This window comes from Homo sapiens, chromosome 13 (genome assembly GCF_000001405.40).
Source record: "Homo sapiens chromosome 13, GRCh38.p14 Primary Assembly".
Taxonomy (NCBI): Eukaryota; Metazoa; Chordata; class Mammalia; order Primates; family Hominidae; genus Homo; species Homo sapiens.
The window spans coordinates 22,342,486-22,362,737 of NC_000013.11; positions in this window are offsets into that span (position 1 = coordinate 22,342,486).

The following is a 20,252-nucleotide window of genomic DNA, read 5'->3' on the forward strand; positions in this document are numbered from 1 at the left end:
TAAACTAACAGGGTAAACAGACATCTTATTGAACAGGAAAGAATTTTTGCAAACTATGCACCTGACAAGGTCTTATGTCCAGCATCTATAAAGAACTTAAACAAATTTACAAGAAAAAACAACCCCATTAAAAAGTGGGCAAAGGACATGAACAGACACTTCTCAAAAGAAGACACACACATGGTCAACAAGCATATGAAAAAAAGTTCAACATCACTGATAATTAGGGAAATGCAAATCAAAACCACAATGAGATACCATCTCACACCAGTCAGAATAGCTATTATTAAAAACTCAAAAAATAAGAAATGCTGGCCAGGTTGTGGGGTTTTTAAAATATTTTTAACACAGGGTCTCATTTTATTTCCCAGGCTGGAGTGCAGTGGCTCCATTTTGGCTCATTGAAACCTCTGCCTCCCAGGCTCAAGCTATCCTCCCACCCCAACCTCCCAAATAGGTGGGTCTTCAGGCATGCACCACCATGCCCAGACAATTTTTATATTTTTTTGTAGGAGAAAAAGGAATGCTTATACACTGTTGATGGGAGTGTAAATTAGTTCAACCATTGTGGAAAACAGTGTGGCAATTTCTCAAACACCTAAAAACAGAACTATCATTTGACCTAGCAATCCTATTACTGGGTATATACCCAAAGTTCTGTCAGAAAGACACATACATGTGTATGTTCATTGCAGCACTATTCGCAGTAGCAAAGACATGAACATTCAAGCAGCTTTATTTGTAACAGCTAAAATGTTAAAACAAACCTCATACCCATCAACAAGTACACAAACTCTGCTATAAAAGTACAATTGAATATTACTTAGCCAGACAAAATGAATGAACTATTTGTGCACACAACAATATGAGTCTCAAAAGTTATCTTCAGAAAATACACTGAGAAGAAGATATATTGTATGACTCTATTTTTATAAAAGTCGGCCGGGCGCGGTGGCTCGCACCTGTAATCCCAGCACTTTGGGAGGCTGAGGCGGGCGGATCACGAGGTCAGGAGATCGAGACCATCCCGGCTAAAAAGGTGAAACCCCGTCTCTACTAAAAATACAAAAAATTAGCCGGGCATAGTGGCGGGCGCCTGTAGTCCCAGCTACTTGGGAGGCTGAGGCAGGAGAATGGCGTGAACCCGGGAGGCGGAGCTTGCAGTGAGCCGAGATCCCGCCACTGCACTCCAGCCTGGGCAACAGAGCGAGACTCCGTCTCAAAAAAAAAAAAAAAAAAAAAAAAAAAAAGTCTAGAAAGCAGAAAACAATGCATAGTAAATTACAGATTAGTAGTTGCCCAGGGACGTGGTTGTGGGAGGGGAAGGAAATAGAGATTATAGAGTAGCCATAAAGAATATCGTGGGGATTATATTTGTTAGCTTGATTGTGTTGGTGGATTCAAAGGTTCATGTGTGTGTGTCAAACTTATCAAGTTGTACATGTTACATATGTATAGTTTATTCTGTATCACTTCTTACTAAATATCAAAAACTGTATTTCTATGGTCTGAATGTTGATGTGTCTTCCAAATTCTTATGCTGTGACCCAGTACACAATGTGATAGTATTAAGAAGTGAAGCCTGATTAAGTCAAGAGGTCTTCAACATTGTAAATGGAATCAATGTCCTTATAAAAGAGGCTGAGTGAGACACTTTCCCCCTTCCGTCATGTGAGGACATAGCTTAAAAGGTACCCTCTTGATGCAGGGGGTGAGCCCACACCAGACACTGAATTTGCTTGCACTTCACCTTGATCTTGAAATTTTCAGGTTTCAGAACTGTTTGCAGTAAACTTCTATTTTTTGTAAATTACCCAGTCTAAGGTACATTTTTATAGCAGGCATAGTGTCCACAAGGGCTGGACTGTGTATACATATATAATCTTATATAATATGTATATATTTTAAGAGGCAGTGTCAGACTTGATGATAAATCAAGGTTTAATTATATGCTTTCAATAAGAGAAAACTTTAGGTTTAAAGTAACAGAACTTTGAATGTAAAAGCATGGAAAGTTATAACAGGCTAACCAGAACTATATGGGAGCTGGAGCAGCTATATCATTATCAGACAAAATAGACTTTAATATGAGAAGTGTTGTTACCAGAGGTTTGGTCCAGGTCCCATTGCTTGCGGCACAGAAAGCCAATCACTGAGAGGACAAGTATTACCAGGGAAGAAGGCTTTACTATTTTATGGGTGATGTCAGCCAGAGAGAAGGGAGCAAAACCTCAAATCCGCCTTCCTTCTCCGACCAAAGTTAGGTTTTTGTATAGCAAAGAAGGAAAACAGGAGGGACAAGGAAGAGGAGTTGATCAACAGGCAGCAGTGGTCCAGCATAGCACTGTAACCACATGCAGAAAGGCAGAAGTAGGGAGGGAGGAGAAAGGAATTGATCAACAGGCAATTGATTCTTCTTATTGTCCAGGTGCAGTGATCTGGAAATCCTTACCTCCCTGAAATCATCTGGGAGGTCTGATGTTCAGTTTTCTGAGAAAAGGTGCAAGTTTAAAATTGGGCCAACTTCAGTGTTACTAGAGAAAAAGAGAGACATTGACAATGATGAAAGAGTTAATATATCAGGGATCTAATAACAAGTACCTATGCATATGCACCTAACAACAGAGTTTCAAATTACATGAAGTAGAAATTTTTAGAATTAAAAGAGAAATTGACAACTCAACCTTCAGTATGGAGATTTGAATCCAGCTTTCTCATAGTTGACAGGAGAATTAGGCAGAACAAATTAAGGGTATAGAAGACTTGAACACTTTCAGTTACCTCAATCTAATTGTCATTTATAGAATGCTCCACTAAATAATAGCAGAATACACATACTTTTCAATATGCCTGGAATATTCTCCTGGGTAGAACATATGCTAAACTCCATGACAAATTTTAATAAGTTAAAATACATTAAAATCATGCCAAAAATATGTTCTCTGAATAAAATGAAACAACTGAATTAAATTTGAGACTCCTCAAATATTTGCAAACTAACCAATATGCCTCTAAAAAACTAATTAGAATAATTTACAAGGTAAATAAGAAAATATTTTGAATTTAATGAAAATGAAAACAGCATATCAAAATCTATGAATGGCTTTTAGAGAAGTGTTCAAAAGAAAATTTAGAGCATTAAACACTTAGAAAAAAAGAAAGATTTAATATTAATTATCTAAGCTATAACTTCAATAATAGAAGAGAAGAGCAAATTATATGCATAGTAAATAGCAAGAAGGAAGTAATCAGAAATGAAATAATTAAAGTAAATAAAGATGGAAAAATAATGGTGAAAAACAATAAAATCATAGTTAATCCTTTACAAAATTTAAAAAAAATATAGCTTCATCTAGACTTACCAAAAAAAGTGAAAAAACATATATTACCAAAATCAGAAATAGAAGAGGGTACATCTGTAACAACTTTACAAGAATGAAAATGATTATAAAGAAACACTATGAATGACTGATGCCAATACATTAGACAACATTGGAAAAAATTTATAGGAAGACATAAGTTACCTAAAATATTTCAAGAAGGAAAGGAAAATCTCAGTAAATCTGTATTCAGTAAACTAAATTAATAATTAAAATCAGCCGGTGGAGCCAAGATGGCCAAATAGGAACAGCTCCAGTCTACAGCTCCCAGTGTGAGCAGCGCAGAAGACACCTGATTTCTGCATTTCCAACTGAGGTACCCGGTTCATCTCACTGGGTAGTGTCAGACAGTGGGTGCAGGACAATGGGTGCAGCACACCGAGTGTGAGCCGAAGCAGGGCAAGGCATCACCTCACCCGGGAAGCACAAGGGGTCAGGGAATTACCTTTCCTAGTCATAGAAAGGGGTGACAGACGGCACCTGGAAAATCGGGTCACTCCCACCCTAATACTGCACTTTTCCAACAGTCTTAGCAAACGGCACACCAGGAGATTATATCCCACCCCTGGCTCGGAGGGTCCTACGCCCACAGAGCCTCGCTCATTGCTAGCACAGCAGTCTGAGATCAAACTGCAAGGCGGCAGCAAGGCTGGGGGAGGGGTGCCCGCCATTGCTGAGGCTTGAGTAGGTAAACAAAGCGGCCGGGAAGCTCGAACTGGATGGAGCCCACCGCAGCTCAAGGAGGCCTGCCTGCCTCTGTAGACTCCACCTCTGGGGGCAGGGCATAGCCAAACAAAAGGCAGCGGAAACCTCTGCAGACTTAAATGTCCCTTTCTGACAGCTTTGAGGAGAGTAGTGGTTCTGCCAGCATGCAGCTTGAGATCTGAGAACGGACAGACTGCCTCCTCAAGTGGGTCCCTGACCCCCGAGTAGCCTAACTGGGAGGCACCCCCCAGTAGGGGCAGACTGACCCTTCACACGGCCGGGTACTCCTCTGAGACAAAACTTCCAGAGGAACAATCAGGCAGCAACGTTTGCTGTTTACCAATATCCGCTGTTCTGCAGCCTCCACTGCTGATACCCAGGCAAACAGGGTCTGGGTGGACCTCCAGCAAACTCCAGCAGACCTGCAGCTGAGGGTCCTGACTGTTAGAAGGAAAACTAACAAACAGAAAGGACATCCACACCAAAACCCCTGTACGTCACCATCATCAAAGACCAAAGGTAGATAAAACCACAAAGATGGGGAAAAAACAGAGCAGAAAAACTGGAAACTCTAAAAATCAGAGCACCTCTCCTCCTCCAGAGGAATGCGGTTCCTCACAAGCAATGGAACAAAATTGGACAGAGAATGACTTTGACAAATTGAGAGAAGAAGACTTCAGATGATCAAACTATTCTGAGCTAAAGGAGGAAGTTCGAACCCATGGCAAAGAAGTTAAAAAGCTTGAAAAAAAAATAGACGAATGGCTAACTAGAATAACCAATGCAGAAAAGTCCTTAAAAGATCTGATGGAGCTGAAAACCATGGCACGAGAACTACATGACGAATGCACAAGCCTCAGTAGCCAATTCAATCAACTGGAGGAATGGGTATCACTGATGGAAGATAAAATGAATGAAATGAAGCGAGAAGAGAAGTTTAGAGAAAAAAGAATAAAAAGAACAAAGCCTCCAAGAAATATGGGACTATTTGAAAAGACCAAATCTACGTCTGATTGGTGTACCTGAAAGTGATGGGGAGAATGGAACCAGTTGGAAAACACTCTGCAGGATGTTATCCAGGAGAACATCCCCAATCTACCAAGGCATGCCAGCATTCAAATTCAGGAAATACAGAGAACGCCACAAAGATACTCATCGAGAAGAGCAACTCCAAGACCCATAATTGTCAGATTCATCAAAGTTGAAATGAAGGAAAGAATGTTAAGGGCAGCCAGAGAGAAAGGTCGGGTTACCCACAAGGGGAAGCCCATCAGACTAACAGCTGATCTCTAGGTAGAAACTCTACAAGCCAGAAGAGAGTTGGGGCCAATATTCAACATTCTTAAAGAAAAGAATTTTCAACCCAGAATTTCATATCCAGCCAAACTAAGCTTCATAAGTGAAGGAGAAATAAAATCCTTTACAGACAAGCAAATGCTGAGAGATTCTGTCACCACCAGGCCTGCCCTAAAAGAGCTCCTGAAGGAAGCACTAAACATGGAAAGGAACAACCGGTACCTGCCACTGCAAAAACATGCCAAATTGTAAAGACCATCGAGGCTAGGAAGAAACTGCATCAACTAACGAGCAAAATAACCAGCTAACATCATAATGACAGGATCAAATTCACACATAACAATATTAACCTTAAATGTAAATGGGCTAAATGCTCCAATTAAAAGACACAGACTGGCAAATTGGATAAAGAGTCAAGACCCATCAGTGTGCTGTATTAAGGAAAGCCATCTCACATGCAGAGACACACATAGACTCAAAATAAAGGGATGGAGGAAGATCTACCAAGCAAATGGAAAACAAACAAAGACAGGGGTTGCAATCCTAGTCTCTGATAAAACAGACTTTAAAACAACAAAGATCAAAAGAGACAAGGCGATTACATAATGGTAAAGGGGTCAATTTAACAAGAAGAGCTAACTGTCCTAAATATATGTGCACCCAATACAGGAGCACCCAGATTCATAAAGCAAGTCCTTAGAGACTTACCAAGAGACTTAGACTCCCACACAATAATAATGGGAGACTTTAACACGCCACTGTCAACATTAGACAGATCAACGACACAGAAAGTTAACAAGGATATCCAGGAATTGAACTCAGCTCTGCACCAAGCGGACCTAATAGACATCTATGGAACTCTCCACCCCAAATCAACAGAATATACATTCTTTTCAGTACTACACCACACCTATTCCAAAATTGACCACATAGTTGGAAGTAAAGCACTACTCAGCAAATGTAAAAGAACAGAAATTATAACAAACTGTCTCTCAGACCACAGTGCAATCAAACTAGAACTCAGGATTAAGAAACTCACTCAAAACCACACAACTACATGGAAACTGAACAACCTGCTCCTGAATGACTACTGGGTACATAACGAAATGAAGGCAGAAATAAAGATGTTCTTTGAAACCAACAAGAACAAAGACACAACATACCAGAATCTCTGGGACGCATTCAAAGCAGTATGTAGAGGGAAATTTATAGCACTAAATGCCCACAAGAGAAAGCAGGAAAGATCTAAAATTGACACCCTAACATCACAATTAAAATAACTAGAGAAGCAAGAGCAAACATATTCAAAAGCTAGCAGAAGGCAAGAAATAACTAAGAACAGAGCAGAACTGAAGGAAATAGAGACACAAAAAACCCTTCAAAAAATCAGTGAATCCAGGAGCTGGTTTTTTGAAAAGATCAACAAAATTGATAGACTGCTAGCAAGACTAATAAAGAAGAAAAGAGAGAAGAATCAAATAGACACAATTAAAATTGATAAAGGGGATATCACCACCGATCCCACAGAAATACAAACTACCATCAGAGAATACTATAAACACCTCTATGCAAATAAACTAGAAAATCTAGAAGAAATGGATAAATTCCTCGACACTTGCACCCTCCCCGGACTAAAACAGGAAGAAGTTGAATCTCTGAACAGACCAATAACAGGATTTGAAATTGAGGCAATAATTAATAGCTTACCAACCAAAAAAGTCCAGGACCAGATGGATTCACAGCCTAATTCTACCAGAGGTACAAGGAGGAGCTGGTACCATTCCTTCTGAAACTATTCCAATCAATAGAAAAAGAGGGAATCCTCCCTAACTCATTTTATGAGGCCAGCATCATCCTGATACCAAAGCCTGGCAGAGACACAACAAAAAAAGAGAATTTTAGACCAATAACCCTGATGAACATGGATGCAAAATTCCTCAATAAAATACTGGCAAACTGAATCCAGCAGCACATCAAAAAGCTTATCCACCATAATCAAGTGGGCTTCATCCCTTGGATGCAAGGCTGGTTCAACATATGCAAATCAATAAATGTAATCCATCATATAAACAGAACCAATGACAAAAACCACATGATTATCTCAATAGATGCAGAAAAGGCCTTTGACAAAATTCAACAACACTTCATGCTAAAAACTCAATAAATTAGGTATTGATGGGACGTATCTCAAAATAATAAAAGCTATCTATGACAAACCCACAGCCAATATCATACTGAATGGGTAAAACCTGGAAGCATTCCCTTTGAAAACTGGCACAAGACAGGGATGCCCTCTCTCACCACTCCTATTCAACATAGTGTTGGAAGTTCTGGTCAGGGCAATCAGGCAGGAGAAGGAAATAAAGGGCATTCAATTAGGAAAAGAGGAAGTCAAATTGTCCCTGTTTGCAGATGACATGATTGTATATCTAGAAAACCCCAACATCTCAGCCCAAAATCTCCTTAAGCTGATAGGCAACTTCAGCAAAGTCTCAGGATACAAAATCGGTGTGCAAAAATCACAAGCATTCTTATACACCAATAACAGACAGAGAGCGAAATCATGAGTGAACTCCCATTCATAATTGCTTCAAAGAAAATAAAATACCTAGGAATCCAACTTACAAGGGATGTGAAGGACCGCTTCAAGGAGAACTACAAACTACTGCTCAATTAAATAAAAGAGGATACAAACAAATGGAAGAACATTCCATGCTCATGGGTAGGAAGAATCAATATTGTGAAAATGGCCATACTGCCCAAGGTAATTTATAGATTCAATGCCATCCGCATCAAGCTACCAATGACTTTCTTCACAGAATTGGAAAAGACTACTTTAAACTTCATATGGAACCAAAAAAGAGCCCACATTGCCAAGTCAATCCTAAGCCAAAAGAACAAAGCTGGAGGCATCACGCTACCTGACTTCAACTCTACTACAAGGCTATAGTAACCAAAACAGCATGATACTGGTACCAAAACAGAGATATAGACCAATGGAACAGAACAGAGCCCTCAGAAATAATGCCGCATATCTACAACTATCTGATCTTTGACAAACCTGACAAAAATAAGAAATGGGGAAAGGATTCCCTGTTTAATAAATGATGCTGGGAAAACTGGCTAGCCATATGTAGAAAGCTGAAACTGGATCCCTTCCTTACACCTTACATAAAAATTAATTCAAGATGGATTAAGGACTTAAACGTTAGACCTAAAACCTTAAAAACCCTAGAAGAAAACCTAGGCAATACCGTTCAGGACATAGGCATGGGCAAGGACTTCATGTCTAAAACACCAAAAGCAATGGCAACAAAAGCCAAAATTGACAAATGGGATCTAATTAAACTAAAGAGCTTCTGCACAGCAAAAGAAACTACCATCAGAGTGAACAGGCAACCTACAGAATGAGAGAAAATTTTTGCAATCTACTTATCTGACAAAGGGCTAACATCCAGAATCTACAATGAACTCAAACAAATTTACAAGAAAAAAAAACCCCATCAACAAGTGGACAAAGGATATGAACAGACGCTTCTCAAAAGAAGATGTTTATGCAGCCAAATAACACATGAAAAAATGCTCGTCATCACTGGCCATCAGAGAAATGCAAATCAAAACCACAATGAGATACCATCTCACACCACTTAGAATGGCGACCATTAAAAAGTCAGGAAACAACAGGTGCTGGAGAGGATGTGGAGAAATAGGAACTTTTACACTGTTGGTGGGACTGTAAACTAGTTCACCCATTGTGGAAGTCAGTGTGGCGATTCCTCAGGGATCTAGAACTAGAAATACCATTTGACCCAGCCATCCCATTACTGGGTATATACCCAGAGGATTATTAATCATGCTGCTTCTAAAGACACATGCACACGTATGTCTTTTTGGCACTATTCATAATAGCAAAGACTTGGAACCAACCCAAATGTCCAACAATGATAGACTGGATTAAGAAAATGTGGCACATATACACCATGGAATACTATGCAGCCATGAAAAAGGATGAGTTCATGTCCTTTGTAGGGACATGGATGCAGCTGGAAACCATCATTCTCAGCAAACTATCGCAAGGAAAAAAAACCAAACACTGCATGTTCTCACTCATACGTGGGAATTGAACAATGAGAACACATGGACACAGGAAGGGGAACATCACACAATGGGGCCTATTGCGGGGTGGGGGTAGGGGGGAGGGATAGTATTAGGAGATATACCTAATGCTAAATGACGAGTTAATGGGTGCAGCACACCAACATGGCACATGTATACATATGTAACAAACCTGCATGTTGTGCACATGTACCCTAAAAATTAAAGTACAATAAAAAAATAAAAATAAAAAAACATAATTAAAATCTTCCCACAAAGACAAGCCCAGGCCTCAGAGGCTTCAGTTGTGTACTCTCACATTTATGAAGTACTACATAAATTCTTTCAGACAGTAGAGGAGGAAAAAACTTTTTAAACTTAACATTGAACCCTGATAAAACAAGTATAATACTGAAACAAAAACACATCAAAGACGTCATAAGAAAAGAAAATAACAGTTCTATATTCCTCATTAACTAATTGCAAAATCCTTAACAAATTTTTAGTAAATTGCCTATCAACGCCTGTAATCCCAGCACTTTGGGAGGCCGAGGCGGGTGGATCACGAGGTCAGGATATAGAGACCATCCTGGCTAACACGGTGAAACCCCGCCTCTACTAAAAATACAAAAAATTACCTGGCATGATGGCGGGTGCCGGTAGTCCCAGCTATTTGGGAGGCTGAGGCAGTATTATGGCTTGAACCTGGGAGGTGGAGCTTGCAGTGAGCCAAGATCGTGCCACTGCACTCCAGCCTGGGCGACAGAGCGACATTCCATCTCAAAAAAAAAAAAAAAAGTGCCTATCAGTACATCAAACAAGATGATATCTTATGACTAAATGATAGTAATCCCTAGAAAATAAGGTTAGATTAACATCTGAAAATCAATTAATTTAGTGCACCATATAGTAGAGTAAAAGGTAAAAAAAAAACCACACATGATTATCTCAACTAACACATTAAAAAACTGAAGAAATTAAACGTTTATGATAGCAATCCCTAACAAACTTGGAACAGAGGTAACATCCTTAAACTAGCTAAGTGCAGCAATGAAAAAGCTACAGCTAACATCACATTTAATGCTGAAAGACTAAATGCCTAAGAATACAGATTTGAAAGGAAGAAGTTCAACTGTCTTTGCTTGCAGATTGCATGATTCTGTGCACAGAAAACCCTGAGGATTCTACAGAAAAACTACTACAGCTAGTAAATAAGTTTAGCAATTTGCAAGACACAACATCTATGCTATTTCTATATGTTAACATCAAAGAGTCAGAAAATAGTAACAATACAATTCCATTTACAATAGCTTTAATACTTACAAATACATTTTAACTTAAGTAATATAAAAGCTATACATTGACAAGTCTAAAAATATTAGTAAAAGAAATTAAAGAAAAAATATGTAAGTGGAGAGATATAGCAAGTTCATGTGTTAAAAGAGACAATATTACTTAGATAAAACTTCTCCCTAAATTGATACATAGATTCAACACAAAATCTCAAGAAATTTTGTAAAAATTCACAAGTCAATTGTAACATTTATATAGAAATGCAAAAGACCTAGAAGAGTCAAAATATTTTTGAAAATGAATAAAGTTGAGTGACTTAAACTACCTGATTCCTAAAAGTACTATATTGCTACAGTAATGAGACATTGCGGCATGAGTTGTGAATATTTACACATTTATATCATGGAACAATTTAGGGAGTCCAGAAATAAACTCTTAATTTTCTGGTCAATAGGCTGCTAAAAGGCATCAAGACTAGTTTAATGAAGAAAACATGCTATTTTCAACAAATGCTACTGAAAAAAATGGAAATCTGTAGAAATATGAACTTATACCCTTCAAACCATAACATTTATTAAAATGTATCATTATTATATATATAAGTGCTAAAGCTATAAAACTTTGAAAATTAAACATTGGAAATGTATTTGTAACCTTACGTTAGGAAAATACTTTTTCACATAAGACACTAAAAGCATAGCCAATTAAAAATAATAAGTTAGACTTCTGAATATTTAAAACATTTTTTCTCCAAAAGACACGATTAACAAAATGAGAAGTGAGGAGGCTTACAGGAAAATGGTTCCAAAAATTATCTCATAAAAGACTTGTTATACAGACATATAAAAAAGCTCCTGCAACTCATTATCAAGAAGACAAATAAATTAAAAATTAGCTGCACATTTTACCAAAAAAATATAAATAGCTAATATAATTATGTTTGAATAGATAATAAAATATGAAAATATGCTCAACATCTATAAACATTAGTGAAAACCAAAATTCTATATCATTACATACCCACCATCATATCTACAATTTAAAAATCCGACAATAACAAATGTTGACAATGATGTGGAGGAACTGGTACCCTCCTATAATATTGCTGAAGGGAAAGTATAATAATATTATAATTTTGGAAAAAACGTTGACAGTTAAACATTATTTACCATATGATTCAGGAATTTCATGTCAAGGGTATACCCAAGAGAAATGAAAACATGTATCTACCCAATGACATGTAAGCAAAAGTTTATAATAACATTTTTTATAAAAGTCAAAGATCAACAACAATTCAGATGTCCATCAATCTGTTCATGGAAACATACTGATATTTCTGTATAATGGAAAATTACTTGGTGATAAAAAGAAATAAACTGTTCATACATAAAACAATACAGATTATTATCAAAAATTTTGTGCTAAGGGAAAGAAACCAGAGAAAAAGGCAACATTGTATATGGTAATAGTCATAAGAAAGATTAGGAAAGGCAAATTTATATAGACAGAGAACAGATCTAAAGTTTTTTGGGGCTGATATTAAAAACAGAAATTGTTTGCAGTAGACACAAGACAACTTTTTATGATGATGAAAAAGTTCCAAAATTGGATTGTTATAATGGTATGACTGTATAGATTTATTAAAAATTATTAAGTTGTACAGTTAAAAAGGGTGAATGCTTTCTGTTTAAATAAAGTTGTTAATTTTTTTATCCTGCCACTTAAAAAATTTAACAAAGTTGAAAAAATGTTAAAATTCTCAATGCACCTACTAACAATAAAACTAATAAATTGTTACAGATTAATGTTTTTAGGAAATTAAAATGAAGGAACTTAATAATTGCAAATACTATTTAACAAAGAAATGGATTGTCAAAAAAGGCATACATTAACCACAAGATTCAGATTATGTAACTAATTGAAATCCAATAATACCATTAGTTTTCCTTATTGAATCTCATTCTCATGGCCCCATCACATACTCTCTTCATTCGTATGGAAAACTGGAAAAGTAATTTACAACACAGTGAATTTACAAGTCCTAATTTCTTCCACCATTTAAAGGAGTCCTGATTTTTGCAATAGATATTGTCCTCCTTACTTCAGTGCAAGCTTCTGTATATTTGTTAAATAATAATAGAGTGATGGGCCTGGCGTTGTGGCTCACACCTGTAATCCCAGCACTTGAGGAGGCCGAGGCGGGCAGATTACGAGGTCAGATCAAGACCATTCTGGCTAACGCGGTGAAACTCCATCTCTACTAAAAATACAAAAAAATTAGCCGGGCGTGGTGGCGGGCGCCTGTAGTCCCAGCTACTAGGGAGGCTGAGGCAGGAGAATGGCGTGAACCCGGGAGGCAGAGCTTGCAGTGAGCCGAGATCGCGCCACTGCCCTTCAGCCTGGGCGACAGAGCAAGAGTCTGTGTCAATAATAATAATAATAACAATAATAATAATAGAGTGATAAACATTTATTTCCATAAATAATGAAAAAATAATAGCATTTCATTAAAACACTATTGATACAATTTATTTTAAAGCAATCTGAAGTCTTAGTCGAAAAATACTTTACTTATAGCTTCATAATTAGTTAATGGTGGATTCAGGTCTTGGAACTTCCCAGACTGGGACTTTACTCACACAATTTCCATTAATTGTTTATAATTTGGTTTCATATTTCAAAGATGCTCTAGTCCAGTGTTTTGTAAGGTATGACCATGACTTATTTATAGGTTGTAGAATTAGTTTGGGTGGTTGTGAATATCAATTTTTTAAATGAGAGAAAATATAGAGAAAAATACAAATCACAGATGGTAAGTTGTGGTGGAGGGTATTTTTACATAATTCTTTCTTCTTTTCCCACTCTCCTGTTGACTTGTCTTTTGACTTTGAGCTTGGCTATATACTTTGCTGTGACTAACAATATATAGAAAGAAGTACTAGTATGTAGTTTTTAGCAGAAGATTTAAGAGCATCTTTTGTCACCACATATGCTCTTGGATACCCATGTACTTCCACAAGAGAAGACCCTGGTCTGAGAATGAGAAAATCAGTTAAATAAACCTGATTGCAACTCTCAGTCTGGAGCCTGACTCAGTAGATTCTATCCAATCCCAGCAGAGTCACAGTTGATAACACAATCATATTTGAGAAAGAATTCATTGTTACTGTAAGCATTAAGATTTGAGGCTGCTTGTTATGCAGGATTATTACAGCAAAACTGACTAATAACCAAGCTTTACGATTGTACTGTGAAACTTTTTTTTCTCTACATATATGTCAACGTGTTTTAGGAATTAGGCCACGCCTATGGTTATGAAATAAAATATATTTTATTATAAGAGTAGTTGGTCAAAAATTTGAAAAGTGTTTTCTCAGTCTACTGAAAAGGGAAAATTTTTTTATCAAGAGGATGATACAGATTTCTTTTTGTTTCTTAAGTGAAGGAACTTTGCTTTTTCCCTGTCCCCTAGCTTTATCGAGGTATAGTTGACAAAATTGTGTATATTTAAGGTGTGCAACATGAGTTTTTGATATGCATATAATATATATATTATATATATAGGAACGATTAACGCAATCAGGTTAGTTAACACATCAATCATCTCATGTAGTTATTTGTGTGTGTGGTGTGAACATTCCAGATCTACTGTCTTAGCAAATTTCAAGTATACAATACAGTATTGTTAACTACAGTCATGCTGTGTATTAGATCCCCAGAATATATTCATCATTTACCTGCATTTTGCACCCTTTGACCAACATCTCTTTATTTCCCTGCCTATACAGTTTTCATTCTAGGGAATTAGTTATTTTAGCATTACCTTTTTAACTAATGGTCAGGCTTAATAATTTTGTTCTTCTTCTAAAATATCTGGGGCAGAATAACCATCAGGAAGGGGTAAAGGAGGGTGTCTGCTGAAGCTGAAACAACTGGGTATCCTCAACAGTCAAGGGCCTGCAGGAGAAGGCACTCAAGGGGCGTCGTCAGTTCTTTCTCTTCTTCTGCATGAAGGAGGTGGCTGGGGAAGCTACTGTGGTTTGTTTCAGATGCAGGCAACAAGAGCACAGAAAATGGTATCTGTTGATGAAGTGTGGCTATATTGGGCCTATGAGTCAGGAGTGTTCCAGAAACTTTGAACCACAGAACCAGTGTGACAGTGACTCAACTCGATTAACTAGGAAGAGTCTTTAAACTGTAGGATGTGGGTAGGGAGATTTTATCCTTTTTTATTTTTTAAATGCTCTATGGGAAAATACTGTTTTGTAGTACTGCTTTTGGAATAATAATATTTTTAAAAATTATATAAGTTTTCAGTTTATTCTGTTGAAATAGGCTAGTGACATATCCCCCTAACTCCAAGAAATATTTGGGTAGCTGTAGCTCAACCCAAAGCTAAAAGTTGTTGGAAAAATTAAAGTGATGATTTGTTTCCTGATAGAATAAATTTTAAAGAAGAATTTAATTAAGAAATGTTTTCTGGAGTAGTTCAGAGAAAAACAAAAATGTAGAAAATAATTATAAAACATGATATAAAAGCTTGGTAAATTTTTTCCTCACTAGGGCTGTTATCAGAGCTGTAGCTTTAAGGTAAACTTTTGATAAATTTGAATAGTTCATTCAATATTTGAATGATGACTAAATATGTTATTAAATTTCATGAGGCCCTGGTGGTAAAGCATTTCCTGAACATACCTGGGATCATCTAGATTTTACCATTTCAATTCAGATAGAGAAAACAAGAGATATCATTAGTGGCCTATATTCTTTCATATAAAGAATAACAAATTGTAAATAAATGTAAAATAATGATAAACCCTAAGCCTTATTAAGATATCAGAGTCATTTTTGAAACACATTTTCTAAGGCCAAAGACTATATATATTGTGTGGAGAGCAGGGTGTTTACCAATTTATGACTATAAGAATGTCATTTTTACGTCACTTTTTGTCTTTAAAAGTTTTACTTTTTTTCTTAAATAATTTTTATTTATTGGCTGGGGGCGGTGGCTCACGCCTGTAATCCCAGAACTTTGGGAGGCCGAGGCAGGCGAATCACCTGAGGTCGTGAGTTCCAGACCAGCCTGACCAACATGGAGAAACCCCGTCTCTACTAAAAATATAAAATTAGCGGGGCGTGGTGGCACATGCCTGTAATCCCAGCTACTCAGGAGGCTGAGGCAGGAGAATCGCTTGAACCCGGGAGGTAGAGGTTGCGGTGAGCTGAGATCATGCCATTGCACTCCAGCCTGGGCAACAAGAGTGAAACTCCGTCTCAAAAAAAAAATTATTTATTATGGTACATAATGGTTGCATATATTTAAGAGGAACATGTGATGTTTTGATACAAGCATACAATGTGTAATAATCAAGGTAATTGGAGCATCCAGTCAGGGTAATTGGAGCATCCATTATCACCTCAAGCCTTTATTATTTCTTTGTGTTTGGAACATCCCAATTTCACTGTTCTACTTATTTTAAAATATGTAATAAATTATTGTTAACTATAGTCACATTATTGTGCTACCAATTCCTTCTATCTAACTGTACTTTTTACCCATTAACCATCCCCACTTTATCCCACCTCCCCCACTCCCCACCCTGCTGCCATTTCCACACTCTGGCAACCATCATTCCACTCTCTATCTCCAAGAGTTCTTTTTAAATGAAAGCTCCCACATGTGAGTGAGAAAGACAAAGATATTTGCCTTTCTGTCTCTGGCTTATTTCAGTCAACATAATGGCCTCCAGTTCCATCCATGATGTTGCAAATGACAGGATTTTATTCTTTTTATAGCTGAATGATATTCAGCTGTATATGTGTTTGTGTGTCACACTTTTAAATCAATTTATTCATTGATAAACACATAGATTGATCCCACGTCTTTGCTATTAAGAATAGTGCTGCAATAAATGTGGGAATGCAGATATCTCTTCAATAAACTTATTTCCTTTCATTTGAATATATACTCAGCAAGGGGATTGCTGGGTCATATAGTAGTATAGTATATTTTTTGTTTTTTGAGGAACCTTTATACTGTTCTCCGTAGAGGCTTTACTAATTTGTATTCCTACAAACAAAGAACAAGTTTCCTTTCTTCACATCCTAGCTAGTACTCATTATTGTCTGTCTTTTGGATAAAAACTATTTTAACTGAGGTGAGAAGGTATCTCATCATAGTTTTAATTTGCATTTCTCTGAAGATTAGTGATGTTCATCTGTTTTACTTATACCTGTTGGCCATTTGTATGTCTTCTTTTGAAAAAGGTCTATTCAGCTCACTTGTCCCTTTTTAATTGGATTATTTGTGTATTTGCTTTTAAAATTTTGTATTGAGTTGTTTGAGCTCCTTATATATTCTGGTTATTAATATCCTGTGAGATGAGTAGTTTGCAAATATTTTCTTCCATTCTGTGGGTTGCCTCTTCACTCTGTTGATTTTTTTTTCTTTGTTGCACAGAAACTTTTTAGTTTGATATTATCCCATTTGTCCATTTTTGCTTTGGTTGCATGTGTTTTTGAGATCTTACTCAAAAAATCATTGCCAAGACCAATGTAACTAGAGTGTTTAAGTTTTTTTCTAGTAGTTTCATAGATTGAGGTCATAGATTTAAGTCTTTAATCCATTTTGATTTGATTTTTGTATATGATAAGAGAAAGGAAGCTAGTTTCATTCTTCTGGATATGGATATCTAGTTTCCACAGCCAGTACCATTTATTGAAGAGACTGTCCTTTTCTTACTGTATGTTGTTGGCACCTTCATCAAAATATGTTGACTATAAATGTGTGGATTTATTTCTGGGTTCTCTATTCTGTCCAGTTGGTCTATTTGTCTGTTTTTATGCCAGTATCATGCTGTTTTGGTTACGATAGCTCTGTAGTATAATTTCGAGTCAAATAATGTGATTTCTCCAGTTTTCTTCAAAATGTTCAGCATGGCATTGGTTATTCTGGTTTTTCTTTCTGGTTTTATATAAATTTTACAATTATTTTTTCTGTTTTTGTGAGGAATGTCATGGGTATTTTGATAGGGATTGCACTGAATCTGTAGATTGTTTTGGGCAGTATGGTCATTTTAACAATACTGATTCTTTCCATTCATAAACATGGACTATCTTTCCATTCTTCTGTCATTGCTTCAATTGCTTTCTGTAATGTTTTATTTTAGAGATCATTTTAGAAATCTTTCATTTCTTTAGTTAAGTCTATTCCTATATATTTTATTTTATTTGTAGCTATTGTAAATGGAATTAGTTTCTTTTCTTCAAATTGTTTGCTGTTGATGTATAAAATGCTACTGATTTTTGTATATTGATTCTGTATCCTGCAACTTTACTGAATTTGTTTATAAGTTTTAAAAGTCTCTTAGTGGAGTCTTTAGGTTTTTTAAAATATAAGACCATATCATCTCCAAACAAGGATAATTTGGCGTCTTCCTTTCTAATCTGGATGCTCTTTATTTCTTTCTCTTGTCTAGTTGCTCTGGCCAGTTGAAGAAAAGTGGTGAAAGTGAGCATCCTTTTATTCTTCCAGATCATAGAGAAAAGGCTTCAGGTTTTCCCTGTTTGGTATGATACTAGCTGTGGGTTTATTATGCATGGTTTTTATTGTGTTGAGGAGTATTCCTTCTATACAATTTTTTAGAGAGTTTTTATCATGAAGACATGTTAAATTTTATGGAATATTTTTTCAGCATCAGTTGAAGTTATGATATGATTTTTGTCCTTCATTTTGTGATATGATGTATTACATTTATGGATTTGCATATGTTGAACCATCCTTGCATCTTTTTTGTTGTTGTTTTTATTTTATTTTATTTTATTTTTAATTTATTTTTTTATTATACTTTAAGTTTTAGGGTACATGTGCACATTGTGCAGGTTAGTTACATACATATACATGTGCCATGCTGGTGTGCTGCACCCACTAACTTGTCATCTAGCATTAGGTATATCTCCCAGTGCTATCCCTCCCCCCTCCCCCAACCCCACAACAGTCCCCAGAGTGTGATGTTCCCCTTCCTGTGTCCATATGATCTCATTGTTCAATTCCCACCTATGAGTGAGAATATGCAGTGTTTGGTTTTTTCTTCTTGCGATAGTTTACTGAGAATGATGATTTCCAATTTCATCCATGTCCCTACAAAGGACATGAACTCATCATTTTTTATGGCTGCATAGTATTCCATGGTGTATATGTGCCACATTTTCTTAATCCAGTCTATCATTGTTGGACATTTGGGTTGGTTCCAAGTCTTTGCTATTGTGAATAATGCTGCAATAAACATACGTGTGCATGTGTCTTTATAGCAGCGTGATTTATAGTCCTTTGGGTATATACCCAGTAATGGGATGGCTGGGTCAAATGGTATTTCTAGTTCTAGATCCCTGAGGAATCGCCACACTGACTTCCACAATGGTTGAACTAGTTTACAGTCCCACCAACAGTGTAAAAGTGTTCGTATTTCTCCACATCCTCTCCAGCACCTGTTGTTTCCTGACTTTTTAATGATTGCATCTTGACCATGATGAACGATCTTTTTGGTGTATAGTTGAATCTGGTTTGCTATTTTTTTGTTTTTGTTGAGGATTTTTGCATCTGTATTCATCAGATACATTGGCCTGTAGTTTTCTTTCTTCTTCTTCTTCTTTTTTTTTTTTTGGTGTGCCTTTGCCTGGTTTTGATAGCAAGATAACATTAGCCTTGTAGAATAAGTTTGGAAGTATTTCTTTATCCTTGATTTTTTGGAATAATTGAATAGAATTAGTGTTCCTTAAATATAGGTAGATAAATTCCTGGATTGATCCAGGAAGAAATTGAATCCCTGAATGGACCATTAAAGAGCTCTGAAATTCAATCCGTAATAAATAGCCTACCAATCAAAAAAAGCTGAGGAACAGATGGATTCACAGTTGAATTCTACCAGATATACAAAGAAGAGCTGGTAGCATTCCCACTGAAACTACTCCAAAAAATTGAGGAGGAGGGACTCCTTCTTAACTCATTCTGTGAGGCCAGCATCCTCCTGATATCAAAACCTGGCAGAGACACAATAAAAAAAGAAAACTTTAGGTTAATACCCTTGATGAACATTGATTCAAAAATTATCAACAAAATACTGGCAAATTGAAATTAGCAGCACATCAAAATCTTATTCACCATGATCAAGTAGACTTTATTCCTGGGATGCAGTGCTGATTCAACATATGCAAATCAATAAATGTGATTCATCACATTAACCAAACTAAAGACAAAAACCGTATGATTATCTCAATAGATGCAGAAAAGGCTTTGATAAAATTTCATACCCTTTCATGTTAAAAACTCTCAATAAACTAGTTATTGAAAGAATGTACGTTAAAATAATAAGAGCCATCTATGACAAACCCACAGCAAACCATCATACTGACTGGGCAAAAGCTGGAAGCATTCCCCTTGCAAACTATCACAAGACAAGGATGCACTCTCTCACTAGTATTCAA